Source organism: Homo sapiens, chromosome 11 (assembly GCF_000001405.40).
Source record: "Homo sapiens chromosome 11, GRCh38.p14 Primary Assembly".
Classification (NCBI taxonomy): domain Eukaryota; kingdom Metazoa; phylum Chordata; class Mammalia; order Primates; family Hominidae; genus Homo; species Homo sapiens.
Window position 1 is genome coordinate 127,470,460 of NC_000011.10, and position 26,865 is coordinate 127,497,324.

The window sequence follows — 26,865 nt, forward strand, 5'->3', positions numbered from 1 at the left end:
AGGCCAATTCACTGCCAATCTCTTCAGATTATTTTTAAAAGTGCAAAAAAAAATGGTACTTCTACTTTCTCTGTTTCTTACAGAATTATGCAGTTTGGACAATGGCCATTTGGACTCACATAGAGGTGTCATCCTGTTACTGTGTGGTTTTGTTTGTTTGTATTATGCATTTTCAACCTCAAAGGAGGTGATTTCCAGAAAGCTACAGTTTAGCCATGCAGCCACCAGGGAGTGGTAGTGTGCAGCTTTAATGTGGCACCAACTACGTGGAGTATACTTTCTCTGGAATATAATATGGCCGCTCTAGTCCAACACTTACTTGCATTAAAACCTTTATTTTCCATACATTATTTTAATATCTTATTATAATAGTTAAAGCAAAATAAATGTGAAAACAGTTAATATTTTGCGAATAATATAAATGAACTTTGATCTGGTGATAACAAATATCTATCAAAAGCATGCCATTAACTTGGAACCGGTCAAAACACTTTGAAGCTGTAGCTCATTGAAAGATCTTGATGACCCTGTGAGGTAGGTACTATTAATGTTATTTTTTTTTAGATGAAGAAACCAAGTCACGGATAAATTAAATACAGATGCTTCTCAACTTACAATGAGGTTGCATCCTGATAGCCCATTGAAGGTTGAAAATGCATTTAATACACCTGGCCTGGCAAACATCACAGCTTAGCTTAGCCTGTGCTAAATGTGCTCAAACACTTACATTAGCCTATAGCTGGGCAACATTATCTAACACAAAGTGTATTTTATAATAAAGTATTGAATATCTCACGTACCATGTATCGCTAGATCTAGAAAAGATCAAAATTCAAAGTTCATTGAAACTGAGGCAGTTTTATGCTATTGTAAAGGTGAAACATTGTAAATGAAATCTTTCTTAAGTTGGAGACCTCCTGTAATATGAACAAATTACATGGCTAGATAGATTTATGAGTCATACTCAGGCGTCCTATCTACAGGGCCCCTACTATTAACGAAGCTACTTTGCCTCTATTCGACTTTTATTTCTCTCATGACTATTACTATACATTCTAACGCTAGTCTTATATACTAACTGTATACATTATAACTAACTGTAACATTTTGTTCAGGTTTATTTTCTTCTGGGTTTCCCACAATAATTAGCTTCACAGGATATTACAAGTAGCTATTACCCCTGAATGAGGATCTTTGGGACATCTGAAAAGTGAGCAAAGTGCTTCTAATACAAGGTTATATTAAGGAATTTAATTAATAGAAAATACTATACAACATATACGCTAACCATTTTATTGGTATTATTTACATTCGCTGCCTATTGATAGGAAAACCCACTGGGCAGCCTTAGTCATATTACCCAGAACTCAGATACCCTTTCCTTTCCACTGGGGGCGCAAGACTGATGATAGACTTTTGGCTTCAGTTTCCCAATGGTTATGGGACTCTATAAAATACATTAAGTCTCACAAGGAGCCAGTATTTCTCTGGTTTCTTTGTTGTTGTTGTTGTTTGTTTGTTTATTTTTTCATGGAACTATGAACTGTCTGCTAGAACTGGCCCTCTATCCTGGCTTCCCTGTCTTATGGAATGCAATCCTGTTGCTTTCTGTCTTATGGAAGCTGTAGGTTGTATAGTAGCTTCTGTCTGCTTTAAAATCTCCTGTCTGTCAGAGGCAAACATGTGACCAAAATCCTCTTGTATATCTCTAGAAGGAAAACAAGAATGATAGACATGTAGTTGTAAATGTATATATTTACTTCTGCTGGTAGTTCCTGTTTTCTATTTGCAATGCCTTTTCTTTACTTAGGCCATTCATGTTGAAGGTTCCAGGGATCTTTCTGATGACTCTGTCCTTCAACTCCCTGGAACTATAATAGCCCCTATATTCCAGAACTGATATAAAATTCAAACTTTGTATCTTCCTCTAAATCCTGTCCAGACACTGGAATAGTCCAGCTTTGAACTACCCTAGTATCAAAGTCTCACATAGTGGTGTCCCCTCCAGTCCAGGTGTGAGCACGGCAGTCTAGGGAATCTTTTCTGTGACTGAACTTCTTGGTGCACTGTTTTAAAATAATGCTGTCATGGTGCAGCCCCAGTGTGACTCACCTCCCAGGATTTACGCCCTTGTGTATTCCCATCCCGCATTGAATATGGCTGGCCTTTTCACCCCATGGTATAGCGTGGAAGTGAGGATGCGTGACTTCTGAGGCTAGGTCAGAAAATATACTGTGCCTTCTGCCTTACTCTTTCCTGGATCACTCACTCTGGAGCAAGTCAGCTGCCGTGTAATGAGGACACTCGAGCAGTCCTGTGGGGAGACTCCCACAACAAAGACCTGAGGCCTCCTGTCAGCCCCTGTGCCAGCTTACCAATCACGTGAGTGAGCCACCTTGAAAACAAGTCCTGCAGCCCTAGTCAAGCATGTGGATGACTGCAACTGCCCAGCTCAGCTGCTTCCAAGATGCACAGAAAATGTGGCACACACATTTAGAGGTAATTGTTTATGCGGTAATAAATGACTAACATATAGAGAGTTCTCCATCCTCAACTAGTTTCTTGCTGCCAGAAGCCATTTGGCAATCCCTATGATTAGTTTGCTGTAATCACAGAAGTATTTTCTATGACTTCTCCCTCTAGGAAAGGGGTTAAATTGACTTTTCTCCTACACCCAAATTCACCTCTTAGGCCTATAGCTACTGGACTGATTTGCATAGGATACTGAGATTACTTATCTACCAAGCAATACTCAGTTCCCACTAGCAATAACCTTGGATGCTGGATTATTTTAAGAAGTTTAAAGAGGCCATATTCACTGTAAAATATAGGTAGAGTAAGAGTTTCTGCTGCATAGTGGGAAAAAAATCTTTAGGTTTAGAGTCGGGCATATCTGTTTTGAATCCATCATTGGCCACTTATTAACAGTGACTCAGAAGTTGCCTTGCACAAATTATGGAATATATCTGAGCTTCAGGTCCCCCATTGTAAAACAAGGATAGTATCTTGCATGGCTATGTGAAGATTTTAAATGATATACCTTTTAAAATCAATCTCACAAAACATAGTGCCATACAGATAATGGGAATTTAATAAATCATAGCCCCCATTAATAGTAAAAGAAGATCTTCGACAACAGACTGAAATTGAAAAACCAACTTATTTTGGGACAGAGATGTCCCAGGTGGTTCCAAAGTGGGAGAGGAGGAAAAGCCTTCTTTCATTTAAGGTAGGGCTTGAAGAACAGCCAGTGTCTCAGCAGTGGAGCGAGAAGGATGGCATCTTAGGCCTAGTGTTAGAGAGGAGGAAAGGGGTCACTTGTTTTAGGATGAAGTTGGGGCAGAAAGTAGTTCAACTGGGCTCCAGCATGGGAAATATAGAGAAAGCAATAGATGGTACACTGGGAGAGGTCAGGAAAAGCCATGGTGAAAAGCCTTGGCTTTTCAACATTGGCACTATTGACACTTTTGGCTGGATACATCTTTATTGTGGGGGACTGTCTTGTGCATTGTAGGACGTTTAACAGCATCTCTGACCTCTACCACTAAATGCCCTTAGCACCTACCTCTTACCATTCATGACAGACAAATGTATCTTCAGGCACTGCTAAATGTTTCCCTGGGGGCAAAAATTGCTCCTGGTTGAAAACAATTGCCTTAGTCTAATATTCTCACCTTTGCTGAGAACGTCACTGGCACTCAGAGAAGATGCTTGCCTGGACCAAAGACACACAGCCTGACACTGCTGAACCAGGTCCAGATGCTCCAAGTGCTTCATCCCTCTCTACACGCTTGAAAAGCAGCCAGGTAGTCTTTGCCAGAGTAAGTGGAATGAGAAAGAAATAGATTATTAAAGAGACTTAGGTGTAAAGGAGCAAAAGGCATCATTAGTCTGGACAGGGAGAGTCACGGATGTCATCTTATTTAAAAAGCATTAATGTGAGTATTAAAGGAGTCGACACCAGGAAGTGTCCAGCATGGTATGTGGTGCCTTGTAAGTGACCAGAAACGATGCTTTCTCCTTCCTTTCCTGATGATAATTTGGGCTTAATTCAGTGGGCCATGGGGAGCTGCAGGACACTTTTTATAGGTCAGTGCATTATCATAGTGGGAAAGTGACATTCTACCTGAAGCTCATGGCTTTTGTTTTATCCTAGGAATATGTCTTATCTCTAGGGGACATATGCCCCCAGGGACTGGCATGGCGCCTGCTCCCTAAACGTCCTCAATTACCATTTCCACCCATCAAGGAAGTTACTCTCTCCAGAAAAGATCAGGACATAATGAGTCCTATGCTGAGTGATTAAAACAAATGATACTGCAGTCCAGCAAGGTGGCAGGGCAGTGAGGAGGTGGCTGAAGTGATTGGCTCCCCTTAAATGCAGCTCAATTTTGAATAATACAGCTGCTTACCCAATAGCTGCCTGAACACAAACCTTTGGCAGCTGGTCACCCTCCAGTGCCTTCGGGATGGGGTCACCAAGGGCTGACACACTTTCTGAATTGAAGCAGTGGACTGTGAAATAGGAATTACTGACAGCTCTTAGGTATATCAAGAGAACAGCCCTATTCCTTAATACAGAGCCACTAATAGACATCTAGAAACCTATAAAACAGACAATTCCTCTATATCATCCTAGTTAAATCAATGTACTTATATTACCCTCATCATTTTCCCTTTAATGTTTATTACATTTTGCCACAGTAATTTATTTTTTCATATCCATCAGCCGATTAAAGACTTTATTCTGAAGATACACACATCCTTGTGACCTAGTTGAAACTGACCTAAACTGTTAAGTAAAAAGCAATGCGGTGTTTGGTGGGGGAAGTTACCTTCTCTCTTTCTCTCTCTCCCCGCACCATCCTCCACCTCCTTTCTTCCCCTCTCCCCTCTTCCTTTTTCTGTGTAGCACTTCCGTTGTTCTAGGGGAGTGAGATTTCCAGTGATGTAAGCTTATATTTTTTGTACTCTTCCTTTCTAGGCATTCAGACAATTTGCTAACCTCCCTGAATGTCTCTTTTCTCTGGTGTTGTGTTAGTTCCTCTCTTAGTGTGTCCCTTTCCTGCTTTTTGCCCCCGCTCTTCCCCCCTCCCTGTAACCCTGTGTCTTCCTGAATGACACGTGATTTCCTGATAGGGAAGATATTCAAGACTTGAAAGACCCACTGGCCGTGGTAGACTGGAAGATGCAGGAGTGCTCACCTTGACCACATGCTGCACCTGCTGGCAGCAAGAAAGAAGCCTCAGTGCATCTCTGCCTTTGGAGCCACAGCTAGAGGACATTACAGAATAAAGAGATGGTTGAATTCAGTATATAATTTAAGTCACATTCCCCCAGAAAATGCCCGCGCTTCAAATGCCATGTTATCACTTCTTTGAGGTGAAACTTACAATTGGAAAAACAAAGCACATGTGCCCTCTTAGAGGATTACAGTATGAAGTTGTCATCATTTGCTAACACCATAATTTATCATTAAGTTTGAACAAAAAGTGGAATTGTATAACTTTGGAAGAAAATACCTGGGTACATAGAGTAGTCTGCTGATGGATTGAGGTGGGCATAGACATCAGTGTAGCTAGTCGAAGTTGGGAAGTTCAGAGAGATTCTGGGCAGTTAAAGAGAATCAGGAGAGCTCTGACCTGGACAGAGGCTGAAGACAGGAACACTTTGCTCAAATAGACGGCCCACTTTTTCCTTGGGGCAAGGTGTTTCTGAGCATTATGCTATGGTTCTTAAACTTCCTTAGCTACAGAATTCTTTTTGAAGTGGACTCTAATGGCGATGACTAATATGCAAACGAGGAAAATCTCAAGCTTCTGTGATTGGGGAAGAAGTAGACAAGGGAACCCAAAGGGAGCTTTGCAAAATTTGTAACCTGAAAACCTCTGAAACCTTCTGACACCCAGGTTACCTCCCTTCATATCCCATATGGAAAGGTTTCCAGTCCAATCTTAACCTTCCTTATTAAAGAGAGAACCCCCATACATTTATAAGCATGAGGAAGTGGAACCTCAGCCAGTTGCTGAGTTTGGCTGTTTGAGAGATTTTTCCTACCTTGAATTCACTCAATCAGGCAAACTGTCATTCATCCTTCAAATTCAATCCAAACATCATCTCCAGAAATCTTTCTCTCAATTCTGAGTCTGATTAAAACAGGTGCATCTCTTCTTTGCTCTTATAGCACCTTTGTGTATGATTCTACTGTAACACTTATGTTACCCTCTTGAGATCATCATTTTGAATGTTTGTCTCTACCCCTGGCCTCTGGGCTTCTAAAGTGAAAGGCAATAAAGGTACTGGTTGACTTGGAATTTCTGGCACATACTGGACTTTGTGGTCTATGGCTGGTTCTCAATAAAGTTTTGCTGAGAAAATGAATGAATGAATGAATAACATTTGGTGACTGTATTTAATTCGATCGTTTTAGATGACAGACTCTAACAAGTAGCGCCTGTATTCCAGCACCTGGACTCTACATACCATTTTTTTTAAAGCAGGACATTTGTATTACCAATGCATTAAACTATCCTTTGTCTTCCTGCACTATACCACGTCTACCTCATTCCTTGAGTAAATACTTTGCCTTGTGGTATTTGTCATCAATTTTCTATGGCATTTACTTATGTTCCAACTGGGGCATGTGTGTTGTGTAAACATCCCCTTGTCATATACATTTCTTGGTGATAGTCCTCTGGAACCATTTATAAACTGTAATTAATTTGTGCCAGAGCTTTGCTGAGGTGAAATGGGTGCCTTTAATCCTTCCTTTGCACATGGAGAACTGGAGAGATGAAATGATTTAAAAGTAACCATGTCTTAGATCAGTGTTTGGGATTGGTAAAGGGATTTAGTGCTTCCTAGGCTTACGCTTTAGCCTCCAGGTCCTGCTGCCTCAGATAAATTGCATTTTTTTTTTTTTCAGGGAAACCACAGTCATAACATTTTGCTTACACAGAAATCCTGCCCATAGTCAAAACCTCCCATAGACAACCTAAATTCAGCCACCCACATCCCCATTCCACAAATATAATATTTTCAGGGTCCTTTGGCTTTTTTATCCAGGATATTTTTTCCCATAGGAGTTCTTTGCCATTAAATATGTAACAGAATCTTGCCAAAATTCATCATATGATTTTGATAATAAGAAAATTAAATGACTGGAACAGAAGACATCCACACAGTCTGTTTCTCAGTTTATCCTGAAACGAAATGCAGTCTCAAATCTTAACCCTAACTGGAATCCAAAGAATGAAACATTTCAGAAAATAAGCTAATTTCATAAGCTAACAATTTAATCAATATCATCTAACTTTAAGATCAGCCAATCAACAATATTAACAGTTTAATCTTTACCTGGGCTTTGATCCACCTTTTGGGATATACATATTCCTAGTTATTTTCTGGTCTACATTGATATATTTATATTCATGCCAGCTGTTATGGATATGGATACTTGAAAGCAATTAACAGCCAGCTGCCTTAAATCATTTTCCAAATAAAGCAGCATAAATAAACATGTATTCCTCAACTGTGGTTCCCAGACACCTCATGATACCTCCCACTATTTCAATGAAGATTTAAAGGTCTACCCTTAGAATAATAACTACTAACCTACATCGAGCCCGCACTGTGTGTCTGGCAGTGCTCTATGCCCTCAACACACAAACTCAAGTCTTCCTTATAACCACATGGGAAATCAGGTAATTTGAAGCTCATCCCAGGTTACATCAATGGTAAATGTATGCTTTTGAATTTGAACACAGGCAGTCTAGTTACAGAGCTTGTATATCAAAATACCTTATAATAATGATAATCTTAGAATTGGCCGACTTTTGGGGGACTTGCTATTCAAAGTGGGGTTTATAGAGCAACAAGATCAGCATCAGCTCAGAGCTTCTCAGAAATGCAGCCTCTTGGTTTTTCCCCAGACCTACCAAACCATGATCTCCATTTTACCAATTGTAACACTTTATTTTCTTATGTTTGATTTTTAATTTTCTTATCTTTTCTTATTTCATGTTTTAGAATCACTTGTCTAGTTGTGCCATCTCATAGCCAAACTAAGAAGTCAAAAGGGCCCAGAAGTATTTGAAGGAACTTTTTCTTTTTAAAAACTACCATATGTACAGGAACACTGTGTTTTCTATGTATAAAATGCTACGTCTAACCATGAGAAATTTCGTGAGTGATCCTAAAGTACATCATGTTAGCAGATGGCCTTGGGGAAATATATCCTTTAGTTACACATCAGTTTCTGAGCTTCCATATTTGTTTCTTTGATTCTGTCACTCATTAGCAAGAATAAGAATTGCCTGAGGAATAGGTTTGTTGGTAACACCAGTGTCTGTTAGTTAAGAATATGTGTCAGAAATATATCCATTCAGTGGGGTTGAAGAGCATGAGGGAATTGAGCTGAGTCAATTCAAGGCTACTGTACTAGTATGGATTCTGGGTCTTGAATATTTCAGACAATCCAGACTGAGTTGTCACTGAGTATCGCAAGTGGCAATTAAAATGGGACTATCTAGGGTTTTTCCACTGATGTGTGGACAAAATAATGCTGCTGAACCTGTTTTAAAGATTGCCCTTATATTAATAAATTATCTTTATCTGTAGTTATGAACACTTTAAATAGGATTATAGATTAGGAAGGATCTTTAGAGATCATCAGCCCTATCAAAGTCCTGTTCTCTGAGCAGCCGGTGAATGTGAAAGTCCATGTTTATCTGAATACAAGCCCTGTGCTCTTTCCTCTTTGTCCTCTTTGCTTTCTTACCAAGTATAGAATTACTTTGGTTTCTTTTTTTTTTTCCTGTGAAACTGTTGTTTATATCTCTTGAACCTCAGGCAAGGGCAATCAGAATGTACAAAGTAATGGAACAGAGCTGAGAGCTGAGTTGGGATGAAAATGAGAAAAAAGGAAACACATATTTTCTTCCCCCTTTAGGTTTAGAAATGGGGTTGAACTCTTAATAAGATTTTTTGCATCTTGTTATATAATCATTAGATTTTTGAAAGTGGAAGAGACCTCTCTGATTATATATTACAAACAAATAATTTTATAGTTGCAAAAATGGAAATCCAGGTAGGTCAAATGACTTGCCAAGCTGATTTGTGAAAGAACCAAGCATAGAACCCAGATATTCTTACACCCAAACCAGATTTTCCATTAACTCACACTCCCTTTTTTCTTTAAGTAAACCACAAGTCACTTCTCTAGTGATTTAATGCACTGGAAAACGGACCAGAAACACTTTGGTACATTTTATATTCATTAGCTAATGTGTATGAGAGGCCTCAGAAAGACTGGGCCTGCTTACTTCAATGTTTTTCTCTAGCTTAGCCCATTTCTGACCACCCAGCTCCTCTTTCAGAGTCCTAAGGCATTTGTTAGAGTTGAAAGGGGATTTAGAAATCATCAGTCCAAAAACTATCAAGCTGCATGTTTCAGAAGCTGATCTTTCAAAGGAGATGCTTTAAGAGACACCTGTCTCTGGTGCTTGAGTGGGTGAGTCACGTACTTTAACTAGAACATCTTCACTTTCCTCGGTATTACATATGGTGCGTGTGTATAAGATGCTGTTTAGGCCGGGCGCGGTGGCTCACGCCTGTAATCCCAGCACTTTGGGAGGCCGAGGCGGGCGGATCACGAGGTCAGGAGATCGAGACCACGGTGAAACCCCGTCTCTACTAAAAAATACAAAAAAAAAATTAGCCGGGCGCAGTGGCGGGCGCCTGTAGTCCCAGCTACTTGGGAGGCCGAGGCAGGAGAATGGCGTGAACCCGGAAGGCGGAGCTTGCAGTGAGCGGAGATCGCGCCACAGCACTCCCGCCTGGGCGACAGAAAGAGACTCCGTCTCAAAAAAAAAAAAAAAAAAAAAAGATACTGCTTAAAAATGTATTCTCTTAAGAAAAAAAAAAAAGATATAATGGACCAAGTCAGCCCTCTTGCTTTTCCAACATATTTCAGGTAAGACATTTTGAGTCCCAACTAGGGGAAAGAAACTCATGCAAGGTTACGCAGCTCAATTTCACTATGAATATGATGAGAAACAAGCACAAAAAAAACATATTTCCTCAACCTAAAAATCAGGACACAAGGTCTGATAAGTCTAGGTACACTTATGGAGACAACGGGCCAGAATATTTGAAATTGAGACCATCCCAGAAAACCCATAATATACGGTCACTCCAGGAATAAGGCAAGAATAATTCCTGACTCCAAGACTAGCTTGAGTGACAGGTGAATGAACTATGGTATAGAGTCACAGAGGGTGACCGCTACTTCTTTCCTATTTTCTGCATTCTTTGATATATGATAGGACCTGCCAAATCCTATTGATTTCAGTGATGATTTCTGTATTAAGATCTATACTTCAATGGCTCCTTTGGACTTCTTGGGCAGGCTAGACTCTCAGCTTCTGGAATGCTTTGGGAAAGTGGGCATGATTCAGTAACGAATCTGACTTCTGATAAATCAGGTAGGGGCAAGCCTTATGGTATGGCAGCAACTACGGTTTTAATGCCAGTAGTGGTGGGCAGCCATAGACAATATACGTGTCCCTTAAAGTTTGTAAGAGCTTCGAATTGCCACAGCATGAGGTACTCAAGGAACATGCCTTAGAAAATAAATGAGTACATACAACAGAATGTGTAGTACTGGCACAATAGTCTCTCAGCCTGGCTGACTCTGCTCAAAACACGGCACCGTTGTGCATTAAATATGTTACTTATATAATGATACACATCATCTTTAGAGCTCAGATCTCAGCAAATATAATGGCCGTCAGAAGGCAGTGAATGTGCTTTGGAAGATTGCTGTGCTGGTCCAGTTCACAGGCCAGCTTAGGCAGCCAAGAGAATTATTTTTATTCTGCATAGTTCATAGTGGTTGATCCTTCTCATCAGGAAGGCCTTCCATTTTTCCCTTTCTCTGAGTGTTTTCTGTTTTGTTTTTGTTACTTTGCTTTTTTTCTCTTTAGAAAAAGCTTGTTTAAGGGAATGTTACACAAAGCTCAAATAAATGTCATTACTTCAAAAGCCTGGCTTTCTCTAGCTGATAAGACCAGGTCCAATTTTTCTCTGTCTAGCATTTGGGCAAACCCTGCTTCCTCCAACTTAAGGATGCAATTCAAATCACTACAAAAAAAAAAAAAAAAGGAGATTAAATAAAAAAGAACAGAAACTTCATAATTAGGGATCTTGTCCTTGAGGCAGTTAATCCCATGGTATTTTGGGCCACTGAATCAGAAAGCCAGAGCTGTGAACCCTGAAGCTGCACAGGATCCTACACTTGGAAGGGCTCCGTTCTTGGCTTAATGCACTGTTGCTGTTATCTTGAAATTCTTAAGAGTTTATGAAAAAGGTTCCCTGCATTTTCATTTTGCACTGAGGCTTACAAATTAAGTATCCAACCCTATGGCAAACCCCATGGACATTCTTTGAGACATTTAGGGTTATACTCGATTACCATTTCCACACTGCATGGGTGAAAGCTCATGAACTGCAATTAGACACCTTTTTCACTTGCTAGCTCTTTGATTTAGACAAGTTCCCGCTTCTTTCAGTGCCTCAGTTTTTTTATCTTTAAATGGGGATGGCAATATGACTTATCGCATAACTTTATTTGGAAGATTCACTGTAACAATGTACCTACAACTCAGCTTAGCAATTGTTAAGAGTATGATCTCAGCAAACATTGGTTAAATAAATGAACAGAGATAAAACTATCTCACAGGCTCCTGGGCTATCTGTGGAACTTTGTCTGAAAAACAAAAACAAACAAACAACAACAACAACAAAAAACAACCTCTTGAATTCTCAGGAGACTAAAATATACTTCTTCCATCCTGCTGTCTGTCTTTTTCCACTTTACATGTTTTATCCTTTGAAGACCTCACAGAATGGTCAAGGAGTCAGCAGACTTTATTTTTAAAGATGAAAAGTGTGGGAGCCTAAAACATAGACCAAACTGACCAATGAGAAACTCTTGTAACAGGCTGGGATCTTGAAGATGCTTCTACTGTTTTTTTCCTCGGTGCCAGCCTGCATCGAGACTCCACATCAGTCCTTGCAATGGTGGGTGGAGAGGGCACACTGTTTTGGGTGTGTATGCCCATGGAGAAGCATTTATTTAAGAGAATAAGCATGGCTTTAGTTTGCCTCTTTCCATCTGTGTACTCTTGATCCCATTATGGACACTGAAGGATTTAGTAGGATTTATCATTTAGTCATGTCTGTCAGTGTTTAAAAATTCGTGACCTACAGACTCTAGTCTCAAACCGGCCAAAGAAGTAATTTTAAAATAGCTCAAGGCCTTAGAAGGGAATATATGGACAATGACCACACTAATAAATACTAGGGGATACGGAGACCACAAAAAAAATTCCCGAACTGCCTTTTCTCCCCCATTATGTTAGGCCATTTTTGCATTGCTATAAAAGAAGACCTGAGACTGGGTAATTTTTAAAGTTTTATCATTTAAAATTTTTTATCCTGTTCAATTAAATCAAGAGGTTTAATTGGCTCACAGTTCTGCAGGCTATACAAGGATGGCCTGGCATTTGCTCAGCTTCTGGGGAGGACTCAAGGAGCCTCATGGTGGAAGGTGAAGCGGGAGCAGGTGCGTCAGATGGCAAGAGAAGGAAAAGGTGGCTGGGGAAGCCAAACACTTTTAATCAACCAGATCTTGCAAGAACTCACTCACTAACATGAGTACAGCACCAAGCCAAGAGGGATCTGACCCGGTGACTCAAACACCTCCCAACAGGCTCCACGTCCAAAACTGGGGATTACATCTCAACATGAGATTTGTGGAAAGACAGACATCCAAACTACAACACCCATCCACTTCCATCCCTTCCTGCATCCTCCCATCCTTCCCTTTGCCTCCCAGTTGTGGCTTAAGTACTATTTGTTTCTCTTCCATTTCTCCTTCTTTCATAATTCTTTACTAGAAAAAGCCCAAAAGAGTTATAAAAGAGTTATTGTGACAAAGCATGACTCTTCTTAGAAGACTGGAAAATAAAATAATTGAGATGTTGATACCAGAGTTCACTTCTGAGAACAGTGGAGGAAAATGTCTATGATATATTAAAATATATATCCTGTCACATATAATTAAAATAAAATCTATTATAGTGGTTCACCTACTCTATGGAAGACACTAAAGTTGTGTTGTAAAAACTTCATCCTGCTTATTTTCATAACAATTCTATAAGAGAATATTAGTGGGTTGCAGATTTATTCATCACTACAGATAACAGTCAAACCAAACCTAAGATAAGACAACTCCAAAGTTCATGATATATTTATTCAATTTGCAGCAGTCATTCAAGAAAACTTACCTGTGTGGCTACCGTGTGTAAGACTTTCTAATGGGTCTTGTGAGACTTGACAGAGATAAGTAAGACGTGGGTTTCGACTTCCAGGAATTTAAAATCAAATACAAAAGATTAGGCATGAGCAAAAAGGTTTGAAATAAGTCTGGGAGAGGTGGCTCACCCTTGTAATCCTAGCACTTTGCGAGGCAAAGGAGGGAGGCTCTCTTGAGTCCAGGAGTTCAAGACCAGCCTAGGCAACAATGAGAGGCCCCGACTCTCCCAAATATATACACACACACACACATACATACATATATACAGATATATACACACACATATATATATACATATATACACACCTATATATGTGCCAAGTTATACTTGGCTAATATTTTTCATATATATATATACACACACAGATATATACATCATATATACACGCATATATACATATACACACATATATACATGTATATATACATGTATGTATGTATTTTCATATATATGTATATATGTGTGTATATATGTGTGTGTATATATATATATATATATATATATATATGAAAAATATTAACCAAGTATAACTGCACATACCTGTAGACCCAGCTACTTGAGAGGCTGAGGTGGGGAGATTGCTTCATCCTGGGAGGTCAAGGCTGCAGTGAGCCGTGATCACACCACTGCACGTCGGCTTGGGTGACAAAAGGAGACCCTGACTAAAAAAAAAAAAAAGTCTGCAGTATAAAAAGTTCATAATAAGTGCAGTGTGAGCAGCACAGACAACATATGCAACACACAGTGATATTCTTTTATGAGAGAAATCTAAGCTCAGTCATTTGGAATGTCTTCCTCAGAATTACACAGGACAGAATCACATTATGGAGCCTGGAATTAAAAGATGTTAGTTACCAACATAATGAAACATGTATGTGTGGATGCCACTTCACGCAGAAAGTAATTCGTCCAGTGCTTATTTTTGCATGGTTTATATCCTCCTGTTTGAAAAAATGAAATACATTTTATCAAATATTCTTCTCAACTGCTTCCAAATATAATTCCTTCCAACTTTTGGGTTTAATACAAGCCTGGCTCATTTTGCAGTTTATACCTCTGGAAATACCTGGAAGGAGTTGGGAAAGCAACAGATTAAGTATTGGCTAGTTTGCAACACTCTATGGCCCAAGGTAACTATTGCATTCAGTTGATACTGTGCTTCTGCTGTCCTGGAGCTGGACTCAGGCCCTGTACTCTGCAAATTGTGTCCTTTCCGCATTGTCTCAATTAATTAGGGACAGGTATGGGGCTCTAGCAAAGATTTTGGTAGAATTTAAACTTAAGTTGAGCCTTAAAGGATGACGATGTGGACTTTGGTAGATATAGAAGGGAGGTGAGTGAGGGCACTCAGAGGAAGACAGTGTTTCAGAAAAGGCTAGGGGAGAGGTTCCCAAAATGTTCCCCAAATAATTAATAATGCATTTATAGCGTGGGTGGGTAAATATGGTCATGAGATAAAGATTAGAGAGGTAGATTGAGTACATTTTGTGAAAATTGAAATAAAAGGCTGTGAAATTTCACATTTTTTAAATTTTAGGAGATGGAGAAACATTAATTTTTAAAGAAAGAACTGATAGATATCAGTTTCAAGGAAATAACAGCAATCAGGAGTGCTCAGTGAAGTTGGGAAGCTTGGGACAAACAGTGGTGTTTACCCATTAAGCATCTTCTACAAAGTCTGAGTAAGTGATATGCATGCCTGGTTTAGGCCAGTGCCTGATTCCAAGTTCTGCCAAATTTTAGTGAGCCACGCTGGGACTTCCAGCTAAGGATACCTTAATATAAAAGGAGGTCTAATTTGTTTTGTAAAATCTAGCTCAGGGAGTTGGAGTGGCAATACTAACAATAACAATGGCATTACTCATCGTTAAAATATGCTCTGTGTACTCCATAGCATGCTCTAGACACTCTGCAGAACATTTTACTTGGCAGTCAACTTTATGAATCAGGTATTGTTATCCCTATTTTATAGGTAGGAAAATCAAGACTTGAAATGGCTAATTAACCACTGACCACTGTTGCTGAACCCAAGTTTATACAGCTGGAAAGCAAAAGAGCAGGGCTCAGCACCCAGGCACTGAGAGAGGAACCTGTTTTCTACCCCTGCGTTGTGAAGTCTTCAATAGCTAAAGCCATGACATCATGGCTCTGTCATATGAATATGGTTTTAAATCCCATTCCTTTTAACATTACCAGGCATGATATTTTAGACGATTCATTCAACAACATCGAACCTCATTGTCCCCCTCTGTAATAGTGTCTTTGTAGGGGTTTTGAAAGTTAAAATTGCTAATATGTGTGAAATTTCTAGCAAGATAAATATTTCAATCAGACGAAGAACCAGCTTTGAGATTCCAGGCAGTAAGCAATACTGAAATCCTGACAACGTGATGGTAGTTGATCGATTAGTTTGTCACAATCCTCCAGCAAGTCACTGGGGAAGAGGGTAGGAAGGCAGTCCTGTGCCCACTTGGCTGAGGGAGGGGACTGTCCAGGGACAGCCAGGTGCCATTACATCAGTTCACTTGGCTAATATACGAGGAGGATTCTATCAGAGAAATGTCTGTATAAAAGTTCAATCATGGTGGCTCATACCTGTAATCCCAGCATTTTGGGAGGCCGAGGTGGGCGGATCACCTGAAGTCGAGAGTTCAAGACCAGCCTGACCAACATGGAGAAACCCTGTCTCTACTAAAAATACAAAATTTGCCAGGCATGGTAATGCATGCCTGTAATCCCAGCTACTCGGGAGGCTGAGGCAAGAGAATCACTTGAACTCAGGAGGCAGAGGTTGCGGTGAACCAAGATCATACCATTGCACTCCAGCCTGGGCAACAAGAGCGAAACTCCGTTTTAAAATAAATAAATAAAGTTTAGTCATACCGATTAATGAGGCAACAGAGTAGGGCCAGGAGGAAGACGTGAGGGCAGCATTTGTAAATATGAAGGCGCATGGACACTCAAGTCACAATAGGTACACTTTATGTTGGAAGGATTAATTCCAGAATCTAACATCTAGAGTAGTGTGGTGCTACTACTCCCAAAGTCAAAGAGACCTTTGAGTCTATGGCCAGAAGCATTTGAAGAGAAAGGGAGCATAATTTTTCTAGTGTAGGGAGTCAGAAATAAGGTATCTCCATAAGGACTCAGACAGCTGTGATTTAGCCATTGTTCCCATTTTCAGGAATGCATTCCCACCAGCACACACACACACACACACACACACACACACACACACATCCAACATGCACATGTAGAACTATGTCTCAGAGAATCAGATCGGCTCAGGCACCCTAGAACTGATTCTACAGGAGAAAGGAATACAAATAATGGCAAAATGCGATAAACACATTTAATCACCTGTGTCCACTTGGGTACTTTGGCAGTGCCTGACTCTCTGCCTCCAGAAGGACTCTGAGCCCTCAGCTTGGAGTTTAGCATCACTCACTATTGCTTTATCTATTTATTTATATGTTTATGTCTCTCTTTCCCAGTAGAACGTTCATTCCATAAAGAAAGGGCGTCTTTTGTCACTTTCATTGCTGTACCTCCAGCATGTGGCACAGTTGCTACTCGATAAATAACCATTGAATGAATGTATGAAAATGCTTTTGGGCATATTTAGGTCACTGTCTTCTTTTATTCTAGAGTATAAATAATAAAAAAAAGTTTCAAAGTTTTAAAAGTGAAACCTTAAACTTAAATATGGCCCTACCTGCTCTCTGCTCCTCCTCCCCCTTGAAGATTAAATTACCATTTTGTCAAGAGCCTTTGACTGAGGTTAGAATTTGTTCTATAGGTGTAAGGTAGGTTTTAGAGTTGTTTGAGGAGGAGATTGGCATGGCAAATAGATCTCTCCTTTAAAAATAAAACTTTGGAAAGAGAATGCAGCACTCGTTGGAAGGAAAAGGGATTGGAAGCTTGGAATCCAGTTAGGAAGCTATTACGATGTGGTGAATGCGAAAACAAGTGGATGTTGGGACAGGTTGGTGGTGGTGGATGGATGCTTGAGGAGCTGCATGGCTCTGTGTAGAATGCACTATTTTCCTCACTTAATAATAATAACAGTAATACTAATAAAGACAATAATAATACTAAATCACAAAATAACCAAAATTTATTGAGTGTCTATTCTCCACTCAGGACTCATCTACAAGTTTAGGGAGATTAAGGAAATTGTCCAAGTTTGCACACCTATTGGCAAAGGGGCAAAACTGAAATGTAGATTTAAGTGTTCTGATTCTAAATCCAGAATCTTTTCTGCCATATTACAAAAAAAACCTTAAAGTACAAGATGTGTACTTTATAAATACAAATACATATCACTTGCAAAATGTATTTTGATTTTAAGTGAGATGTGAGCTTCTGGAAGGCAGAAGCAATTTCTGTCTTTTATTTGTTTTTTTAAAATCTCAAAACACAGAGCCACATCTTTGGGTATGTGTGTATGTGTGGAGTACGTGTGTATGTATGTATGTGTGTGCATGTGGCTCTCTCAGATGACTACGCCAGTCTACATATTAACAGGGGTCCATGGAGACAGACGCCTCATCCAAGAGCAAAGCCCTTCTTATGGGCAAACTCTCTGTTGGTGTATTAGTCTGTTCTCACGCTGCAAATACAGACATACCTGAGACTGGGTAATTTATAAAGGAAAGAGATTTAACTGACCCACAGTTCCACATGGCTGGGGAGGCCTCTCAATCATGGCGGAAGGCAAATGAGGAGCAAAGGTATGTCTTACATGGCGGCAGGCAAGAGGGAGCATGTGCAGAGGAATTGCCCTTTATAAAACCATCAGATCTCATGAGACTTATTCACTATCATGAGAACAGCATGGGAAAGGCCCACCCCCATGATTCAATTACCTCCCACCAAGTCCCTCCCACAACACAGGGGAATTATGGGAGCTACAATTTGAAATTTGGGTGGGGACATTGGTAAATCATATCAGTTGGGCAGTAGGAGTCTATTTTGAGGGTTCGTTGGGGGGGTCTTCATTTAACCCTCAAATCACAGGTTGAAATTCACATGCAGAGCTCTCAGGCCTCTTAACACACTTCTCTCCATTTGGGTGGGGGAAGATGGAGGCGTTGTGGACTGAAAGGGGTGATGCTGGGCACTGCTGGTGCTCGGTGAAATCTTTAATGTGTCCTCAAAAGCTGACTGCTCTGTGCTCTCTTCCTTTCTGCCTTGCTGTTTACTTTACACAGCAGTTGCTTTTTCTCCTGACTCTGCATGAGACTCCAGGAATAAAGAAGCTTAGAAGAGAAGGTGGGATTTGTACAAGGCCTTTGCATGAGGAGGGAGCCAGTTAGGATGAGAAAACAGTCGCCCTCATCAGGTGTACCCACAGAGGCCCTTTGCTGAGGCCTGGGCTCACAGCTTCCTTTCTTCCCCACTCCCACCCCTTTTGCGCCTCCCTCATCTCAATTGCTTTGAACCAGCCTCCTTTGTGGACATTTACAGACAGACCCAATCAAAACCTTGTTTAGAGATTTGCAGAGGTGAATTCTGGAGGCCTTTTATTTGCATGGTGGGTGCTGTGCTTGGTTCTGCCTGACAGAGAAGAGAATGGGAAGCTCTCAGACAGCTATCAGGTCTCATGGGTACATAGGATTTTGCACTTAGTCCAGGGGGACAGATAAGCTCTGGTTTTAGTGCAGAATCTCTGGGCCCATTATTGAAGCTCCAGACCCAAGGTATAGATCTAATTTATTTTAGGAAGGAAACTGGTGTTTACCTTTTCCTCTCTTTTTTTTCTTCCCAGGACAATATTTTAAAAATATAATTATACATATTTTTATTTTCTACTGATTATCTCATTCCTTCTACCTGCCTCCCCATGGAAGCAGATAATTTCTAGCAGATAATCAAGTTTGGATATGGCTCAGGGGGGGTTGTGACAGGGCACATAGCAAAAAGTAGCCTGTGAATCTCGGGACTTTGGAGTTTCCAAATTCCCAAACTATTAAGCAGACTATATGCTAATATTATACCATTATATATAGTATAGTACAGGTTGAGTATCCTTTATCTCAAATACTTGGGACCAGAAGCATTTTGGATTTTGGGGGGGATTTCAGAATATTTGCATTACATGTACTGGTTGAGCATCCCAAATCCAAAAACCTGAAACTTGTAATGCTCCAAAAAGCATTTTATTTGTGTGTTATGTCAGCACGAAAAATTTCAGATTTTAGGAAATTATGGATTTTGAATTTTTGTATTTGGATTGCTCAGCCTTCATGTACTATGAAATAGCGTCTGAGAAGCATAAACATTACTTTTTTGTAAGTAGCTCTAAGGGAAATATCTAGAATCATTTAAGAGAGAAAGGGCTTCCTTCCCCCATCTCCATGAATAGCAAAAACACAAGGTCTCTATGTTAGTGGGTGGGAAGTGAGACATAGGAGAAAAGATGAGAAAGGAGGTCAGGATTCTCCAGTGGGAGAGCACTGAGCTGGAAGCAGCAGTGATTGCATGCCCAGATGCTGGGTAGGAGTGGAGCCATTGTTTAAAGACTGCCCAATAGGCAGGGGGCCTCTGCAGAGACAGCTGCTCAGTCCAGAACCATTGTTGCCACCACTTTCTCCTAGCACCTTCTGGGACAGAGAGGACTTCCTTCAAAGTAAGCAGGACCTCTCCCAGTGACTACCTAGCAGCTGTCTACATTACCAGAACTGGCCTACCCCGGGCCATTTACCCACTGTGGACAACTCCCACCTTGCAGTGTTCTGTGACTCTTAGAAGCCACAAAGAAGTGATTCATTTGACTACAATAAAGAAAATTTTAAATTGAGATCTTTTCAAAAATCTACCATTTATAAATTGGCCTACTTTCCTGAGGCAGAGGTTTTATTTTTCCTGACAATATGTAGAAGAAATTGTATAAATTCCTACCTAAACTACTCAAAGGAAAATGCATAAAATCCCCCCTCCTCCTCCCCAACATCTGCCACCCAAAAAAGTTTCTTAGAAATGAGATTCTCTTCCTCGGCCCAATAGCAAAGTGCATTCCTTGAGAAATGTGTAGCTTTCAGACAGGGGCCATGCTTCTGTGATTCACAGCCTGAAGACATGTCTCTTTCTGAGTTGATCCACACAGAGAAATAGCTGTTGAGTATTAAAAAAATCAAGAAAGGACACACACATATCTGGGTTTTGGCTTTTTTTTTCGTATAATAGAAATATCTAGCAACATTGAGCCACATCATCATGTGCTGTTCCCTTGCAACCTGACAGCTCGCAGGCTTACCACCCACCTCAAGTTCTCACTGTGTCTTTGACATTGAGGCAAGGCTAGGTGTATCTACCCTTGAGTTCAGGTTTCTGGCATCTTTCCCTTCTCACATTCAGCTCTTCACTTTTATATTACCCTCAAGGGCCTTGAAAGCATTACAATTTTGTCTTAGAGCAGTAGCCTCTGCTCTTGGCCCCAAACAAATGTTTGCTTTCATGATTTAGACTAAAAAGAATAGTCATGGGCCACATGAGCTGGTCCATTTCCCCATCTGGGAAATATCTGTGGGCATTTGCTTGTGGAAATAATACCTCAGATTGCTTTAATTTTTTTTTTAATCTGAATCTCTAAATTGTTCTCCCTAGGTCTCAAAAATGGAGAAGAGTGGGCAGAGACAGGACTCATTAACACTGACCTGGAGCTTTCAACCTATGTGAGAGCTCTCCAGCTAGACTCATTACCAAAACACCAAGAGTTCAGTATAGGCTCTGCTGCCCACTGCGCAGAATGCCAATCACTGAGACAACAAGTGTTATCAAAGAGAAGGCTTTAATAGGGTGCTGCAGCTGAGGAAAATGGAGATAAAGTCTCAAATTCATCCCTCTGACCAATAAAATTGGGAGGTTTATATAGCAGGGACGTGGGAAAACAGGAATTAGAGGGGAGTAAGGAAGTCATCATGATGGATGAGGGGTGTGGTGTCTCATTGTCTGGATGTGGTGATCTAGTAAGTTTCACTCCTTTGGCTGAGTGTTGGTTTCCTGAGGAAGGAACTCAAATGAAACAATCTAAGCTACAACTTTTAAGACCAGGGAGAATCAATTTTTATGTTTACTTAAAAAAAAGCATACATATTAGTTGTATGGGACAATCGGACTGGTTTCATACTCACTCTTAATTTGTACTCCACCCCCAAATTGATTAGCTGTGGGCTCTATTTGTGGCTCTGCATATCGCTTATAGATGACTTCAGTATTCTTTATGCCCCACCCCCATGTCCTGCCTTGCTTGTAATTATGTGGTTTCTTGAAGATTATGCAGCTCTAAAGAACAGGAATTTGTTTGAGGCTGTCTACCTAAGGAAATGAGCACTCTGTGGCTTGGAATTATGCCAAATGTGTTTGATAATTAATTATGTGACTTTACACAAGCAATTTGCCCTGCTAGTGCTTCAGTTTCCTTTTTATAAAATAAGACTAGACCTAGAGTGACCTCTAGTAAATCATGTAAGTGATTCATTCAAAAAAAGTATCAAGCACCTACTACATCAAAGGCACCGTCCTAGGGGCTGAGAATATAAAAGAAGGAAATGGCAATGGCACCACTCCAGCAACTTAAAGTCTGCAGGCAGAGCCTTATGCCTTTTTATTTATCTGTTTATTATCTAATATAATGTATTGTAAGTATCTGTACCTGTAATGAAAAATATATACACATTATTTAGAAAGCAGCATGGTAAGGGTGGGCGTACATATGCACACAAACATGTGCAATTGTTGAATAAGAACTCTTGCAGGAAATGAGGACATCCTCAGAGGAAAGGTAAGTTTTGTGTGGATCTTGAAGTATGAACAGAATCTTGATGGAATTCAAGGCTAAGGGAACATCATGTGAGGTATTTGGGATGACTGAACAAATCAAGGTGTTTGGGATGTAGGAAATTTGGAATGACTGAAAGTGGGGCAGGTGATGTAGGCAGGTTCCACCAGAGACAGTTTTTAGAAAGCTGTGTATACCATGCTCAGCATTGTAGAAAGTCATTCCTTCAAGGTCTTTACACATGAATACTTATTTACTCACAAATTCTTATATTTTTCTGGAATATTTTGGTGTTGTTCTATTAATAACCTGAGATCATTGGTCCTCTTGAGGTTTATTTCAAAATCAAAATGTTCAACAACTGAGTTAACATGTGAAGCACTGGTAGGAAGCAATGTAGAAATCACGGCTGGATGGTGCTGCTGCAGATGTTCGGATCATGAAATAAAGTACTCATCAGAAATGGATGAGTACCTTCCTCCAGATTAGGGGGGAGTGCAGCCCCCAAAAACAAAGCATGAAACACAACAGTAATCTCAGTCTAATGAGATAAACCACTCCATTGAGTGTAATTCCAGACAAACTATTTCCTCATCCCTTTGAAATCATTTTAGTTTAGCAATGCCCTCTCTCTCAGTAAGTGGAGTTCATACTCAGAGATTCTTCCCATTTAGTAGTTCAAGGTGAGAAAAAGAAATATATTTTACCCTAGTTTCACCACACCAGATCCTACTGGGAATCCTCCCCTCTCATGCTGATTCTGTTATTGCCAGAACATACCTCATGGTCGGTCTCCTTTTGGTTTCTTTCTCCATCTTTACATTATTAAGTCTGTAGCTCCGGCAACATGGTGCCTCTAGTTCAGTTCTACTCCCTCTGCTGGCCAGATGTCAGCTAACAATAACAAAAAGATGCTATTTCAGGGTGGTTCCTTCACCAAGATTATCATAAATCGCTTTTAATTTTTTGGCAATGCAGTGTTGAAATTTTTTTAAAAACTATTTAAAATCCAACAGCTCTTCCTTTAGCAGATTATAATAATTTTAAAACACTGCAGATTAAATTTGCGGCCTCCACTGGGTCCCTGGCCTTGGTATTAATTAACAAAGCTTGAAATGAGCCGTGATTAATTGCGAGTCCAGGAGCACAACACAGTTTGATGAATATGTTCAGATTTCAGGGAGAAAAACATTAAAACGGCTGCTTGAGGCAGGAGCTTCTGCAATAATAACCACTATGGTTTCAAAAACGTGTCTTTCTCATACAAATTGCAGAGTGTATCATCCCTGGAGTGAAGTCTGCTGATAATAGAGTAGAAGTGGAGGTCTGGAGCCATCTGCACAGCCAGCGTCTTTAGGGCTTCTTTTCTTTCTCTCTCTTTCTCTGTTTCTCTCTGTTTGTCTGTCTTTCTTTTATTTTCCCTTTTCAAATAATCAGACTTAAAGAATAGAATAAACCCAAGTAGGAGGAGGAGCTGGATATGAGATAGAGAATTTCAAACTAATGTAAGATACATTGACTATTTAAAAATACGGACATTTATTTATGAATTTTTTTTCCTTCATTCACAGAATCATGGTAGAGATAGTTGTCCACTAGAGCTCAAGGATCTAGGGGGAAAAGATTATAAAACTACGGTGACAATTTTCTCTAATCCCTTGATTTATAGGAGGAGAAGCTGGGATCCATGTCACTTAAGCAGTGTATGGGCAATGTCACAGCCATGAATGGAGGAAAGCCAGGGACTGAATCCTAATCCAGCCAGAGGGTGATGAGAAAGATGGACTTGGACTTCAAAGGTTTGCATGTGATTCCTGGCTCCGTGTCTGTCTAGTAGCCGGGTCGTGATTGTCACATGGGCTCCCTGCTTAGAGGGACTACAAGTTGGTTTAATGCTCTGCTATTGTCGTCTTGAAATTCTTGGATTTATTTATTCATTTGTTTTTAACAAGACACTCTGCAAATTCTGTAGCTGGTCTCATCTAGCAGTATGGGACCTTAAGCACATCACTCTACCTCTCAAAGTCTCAGTTTCCCTTATATATAAAGTGGATAACATTTATACCTGTATGGGCTGAAATAAATTAAACCAAATTAATTAGAGGAAAATACCTGTAAATGATAACTATGCAAATATAGGGTAAAATTGCTAGCTTTCCTGAGTCACAGAAAGTCTTAAATAGCAATGTTTTTCTTATGCTTTTTCGGGAAACTTATAGGGTTGTTTTTGCTCAGGGTCTCTGATGTAACTTCACACTCATATGGAACCACTGCACCCCTGAAGTGGGGTTTCTTTCTTTTCCAACAAATTCAGCTCTCAAGGGCAAAAGAGTAAGAGAAGACAGTGAAGGTAACAAGAATCTTTAAAGACACAATAAATAATTACACTTTGTGATGGGGGCTCCAGCAGAAGGCCACATTTGGAGTGATTTAAGGGTACCAGTTAATGAACACCTTTCTTGTAGGTTCTCAAGCATGAAGGTCAAAAAAGCCAAACCTCTTGCTATAGCTTTCATTTATCCAAGCATATTTGGAGTTAGAGAGTGGCCTTTGAGAGAAAAGCATGTAGGTGAATCAGCCTGTCCTGAATGCCTTGGGTCTCTTTCCTTCTCCTTTTCCCACATCAGTGGAGTCCCACTGCTTAGAGATGGGAAAGAGCAAATGGGGCATTGTGGGTGAGAAAGTCCAGAGGGGAGTAATGATGCTGGATCTTGCAGGCCAGTCTTGTGGGTGCTATGAGGGTTGCTGGCTCTCTGGGAAGGTGGATATAGGGAGCACTGTGATGGGGAAGGTGGATACAGGGAGCACTGTGATGGGGAAGGTGGATACAGGGAGCACTGTGATGGGGAAGGTGGATACAGGGAGCACTGTGATGGGGAAGGTGGATACAGGGAGCACTGTGATGGGGAAGAACATTTCCAAAAGACAGAACAGAGATGCTGTTTGTTAATACATGTCAGTGCAGCAAGTATCAAGGATGAACTGAAGACTTCATCGAATGTGGTATCAGGGAAATCTTATCATCAATGCTGGCTATAGACAGAGTGAAAACAGGAAAGATAGAGAAATATTACAAGATTTGCCTGAAGAATGTGTGCTAACTGAGGTCATTTGTGAGACCCAGTAAACTATTTATGATTAGTTACCGTCTCCCCGACACATACCTACCCCGTACCCATTATACGCACCCTGACTATGTAGAAAACTGTTTGTTTTAGATTTTAATGGTGATGCCGGAAGAATTACTGCACTCCCAGTCTTCAATTGTTTCTGCAGCCTGGTTATCAATTTAGGACTCATTGAAAACCAGGAAAGAGTGACATGGAAATGTGGACACTGGCGAATATGTTAGACAGTCAAAAGAAGAGGGTTGGGAGGATCCAGCTAGAGTGGGCGGATGAGTCCATTAAGAAGAGGATCTTTGAGAAAAACTTGGAACCCATGGACTGTAGGAGAGGAAACGGTTAGTCATTCCAGAAGAGGGAGTTTTTAAACATCTTATTTTAAAGTATGACTGTATTCATTCCCATTAATGTTGCAGAAATGAAAAAGCATCAGAGAGAAGGAGAGACAGGGGTCTCAGATACAGAGGCCACCGTGAATCACATCACCCAGCCCTGCAGTTGCCTTGCACCTCCTGCATTAGCGGCACCAGTGATGCGTGTCTGTCATCTCCCCTGCCACGGTTTGCATCCCTAGCCCAGCACCGGGATGGATGAAAGGGATCAGAGTCCAAGAGGAGCCTGCTCTTCAAAAATGCCTAGCGACAAACAGTCCTGGGAGGATGGCCACAGGGAAATGGAAGAGAAAACTGAATTATTCTGATTTACCTTCTCTTGTTAATCGGGTCCCTTTGCAACCACTAGAGACTTTCAGGAAAAAAAATCAGCTTATTTATCTCCTTTCATATGGAATGTAGGTTTTTGAGGTCTCATTCTATATTCCTTATGTATCCTTAAAGAAATACTCTAGAGATAAGACCAGTTTCTGGAAGAGGTGGGGGTGAGTTAAAGAGAGGAGCAAATTCTTCTCTGGCCCAAGAAAGAAAATGCAGCTCAATTTCTTTTCAGGACCCCAGGAAAAGTCCTCATGTCCAGAAACTCATCAGATTCACTTTATCTTTGTGATCCTCTCTGAGTCTATCTCTGCTATTAAGGTTGTTGCTGCCCAAAGACTCCCCACACACAACTCACCGAAAGGGGCTGGTGAGAATGTCAGGCCTGCCCCCGATTCAGTAGCTCAGTGACTAGAACTAACTCTAATTTCAAGGTTGAGGATTTTATAATTTCAGAGGTTCCTGGGGCAACTGTTTCTGGAAAATAAACATCCTTGAGAGTAAACTGGATTTCTTGGATGAGTGCACTGTATGGGTGCTGTGTCTTGGAACAGTCACCTCCTTTCGTCTTCTGCACACAGGATAAGATTTTACTCATTTTTCAGTCTTGGTCAAGGGAGTAGAGGACAGAGTTTTAGTGAAGGAGGGAGCCTGCCTTAGGCATGCATTTGAGCCCCACTATCCACTATTTTTTTTTTTTTTTTTTTTTTTATTGAGACTGAGTCTTGCTCTGTTGCCCAGGCTGGAGTGCAGTGGCACAATCTCGTCTCACTGCAACCTCTGCCTCCCGGGTTCAAGAGATTCACCTTCCTCAGCCTCCCGAGTAGCTGGGACTACAGGTGCCTGCCACCAGACCCAACTAATTTTTT

The 26,865-nt window shown here is 40.5% G+C and overlaps 1 long non-coding RNA gene across 1 annotated transcript in view; it reads left to right on the plus strand.

Annotated features, from left to right (window-relative positions):
* The window catches only part of LOC107984373 (uncharacterized), a 69,120-nt gene extending 42,619 nt beyond the window's left edge, over window positions 1-26,501 (plus strand). Inside the window, exons 2-3 of the long non-coding RNA XR_001748081.2 lie at window positions 23,831-23,960; window positions 25,703-26,501. This is a non-coding gene — a long non-coding RNA (uncharacterized LOC107984373). The remainder of the gene's footprint in view (window positions 1-23,830; window positions 23,961-25,702) is intronic.
* Window positions 26,502-26,865: the final 364 nt, after the last annotated feature.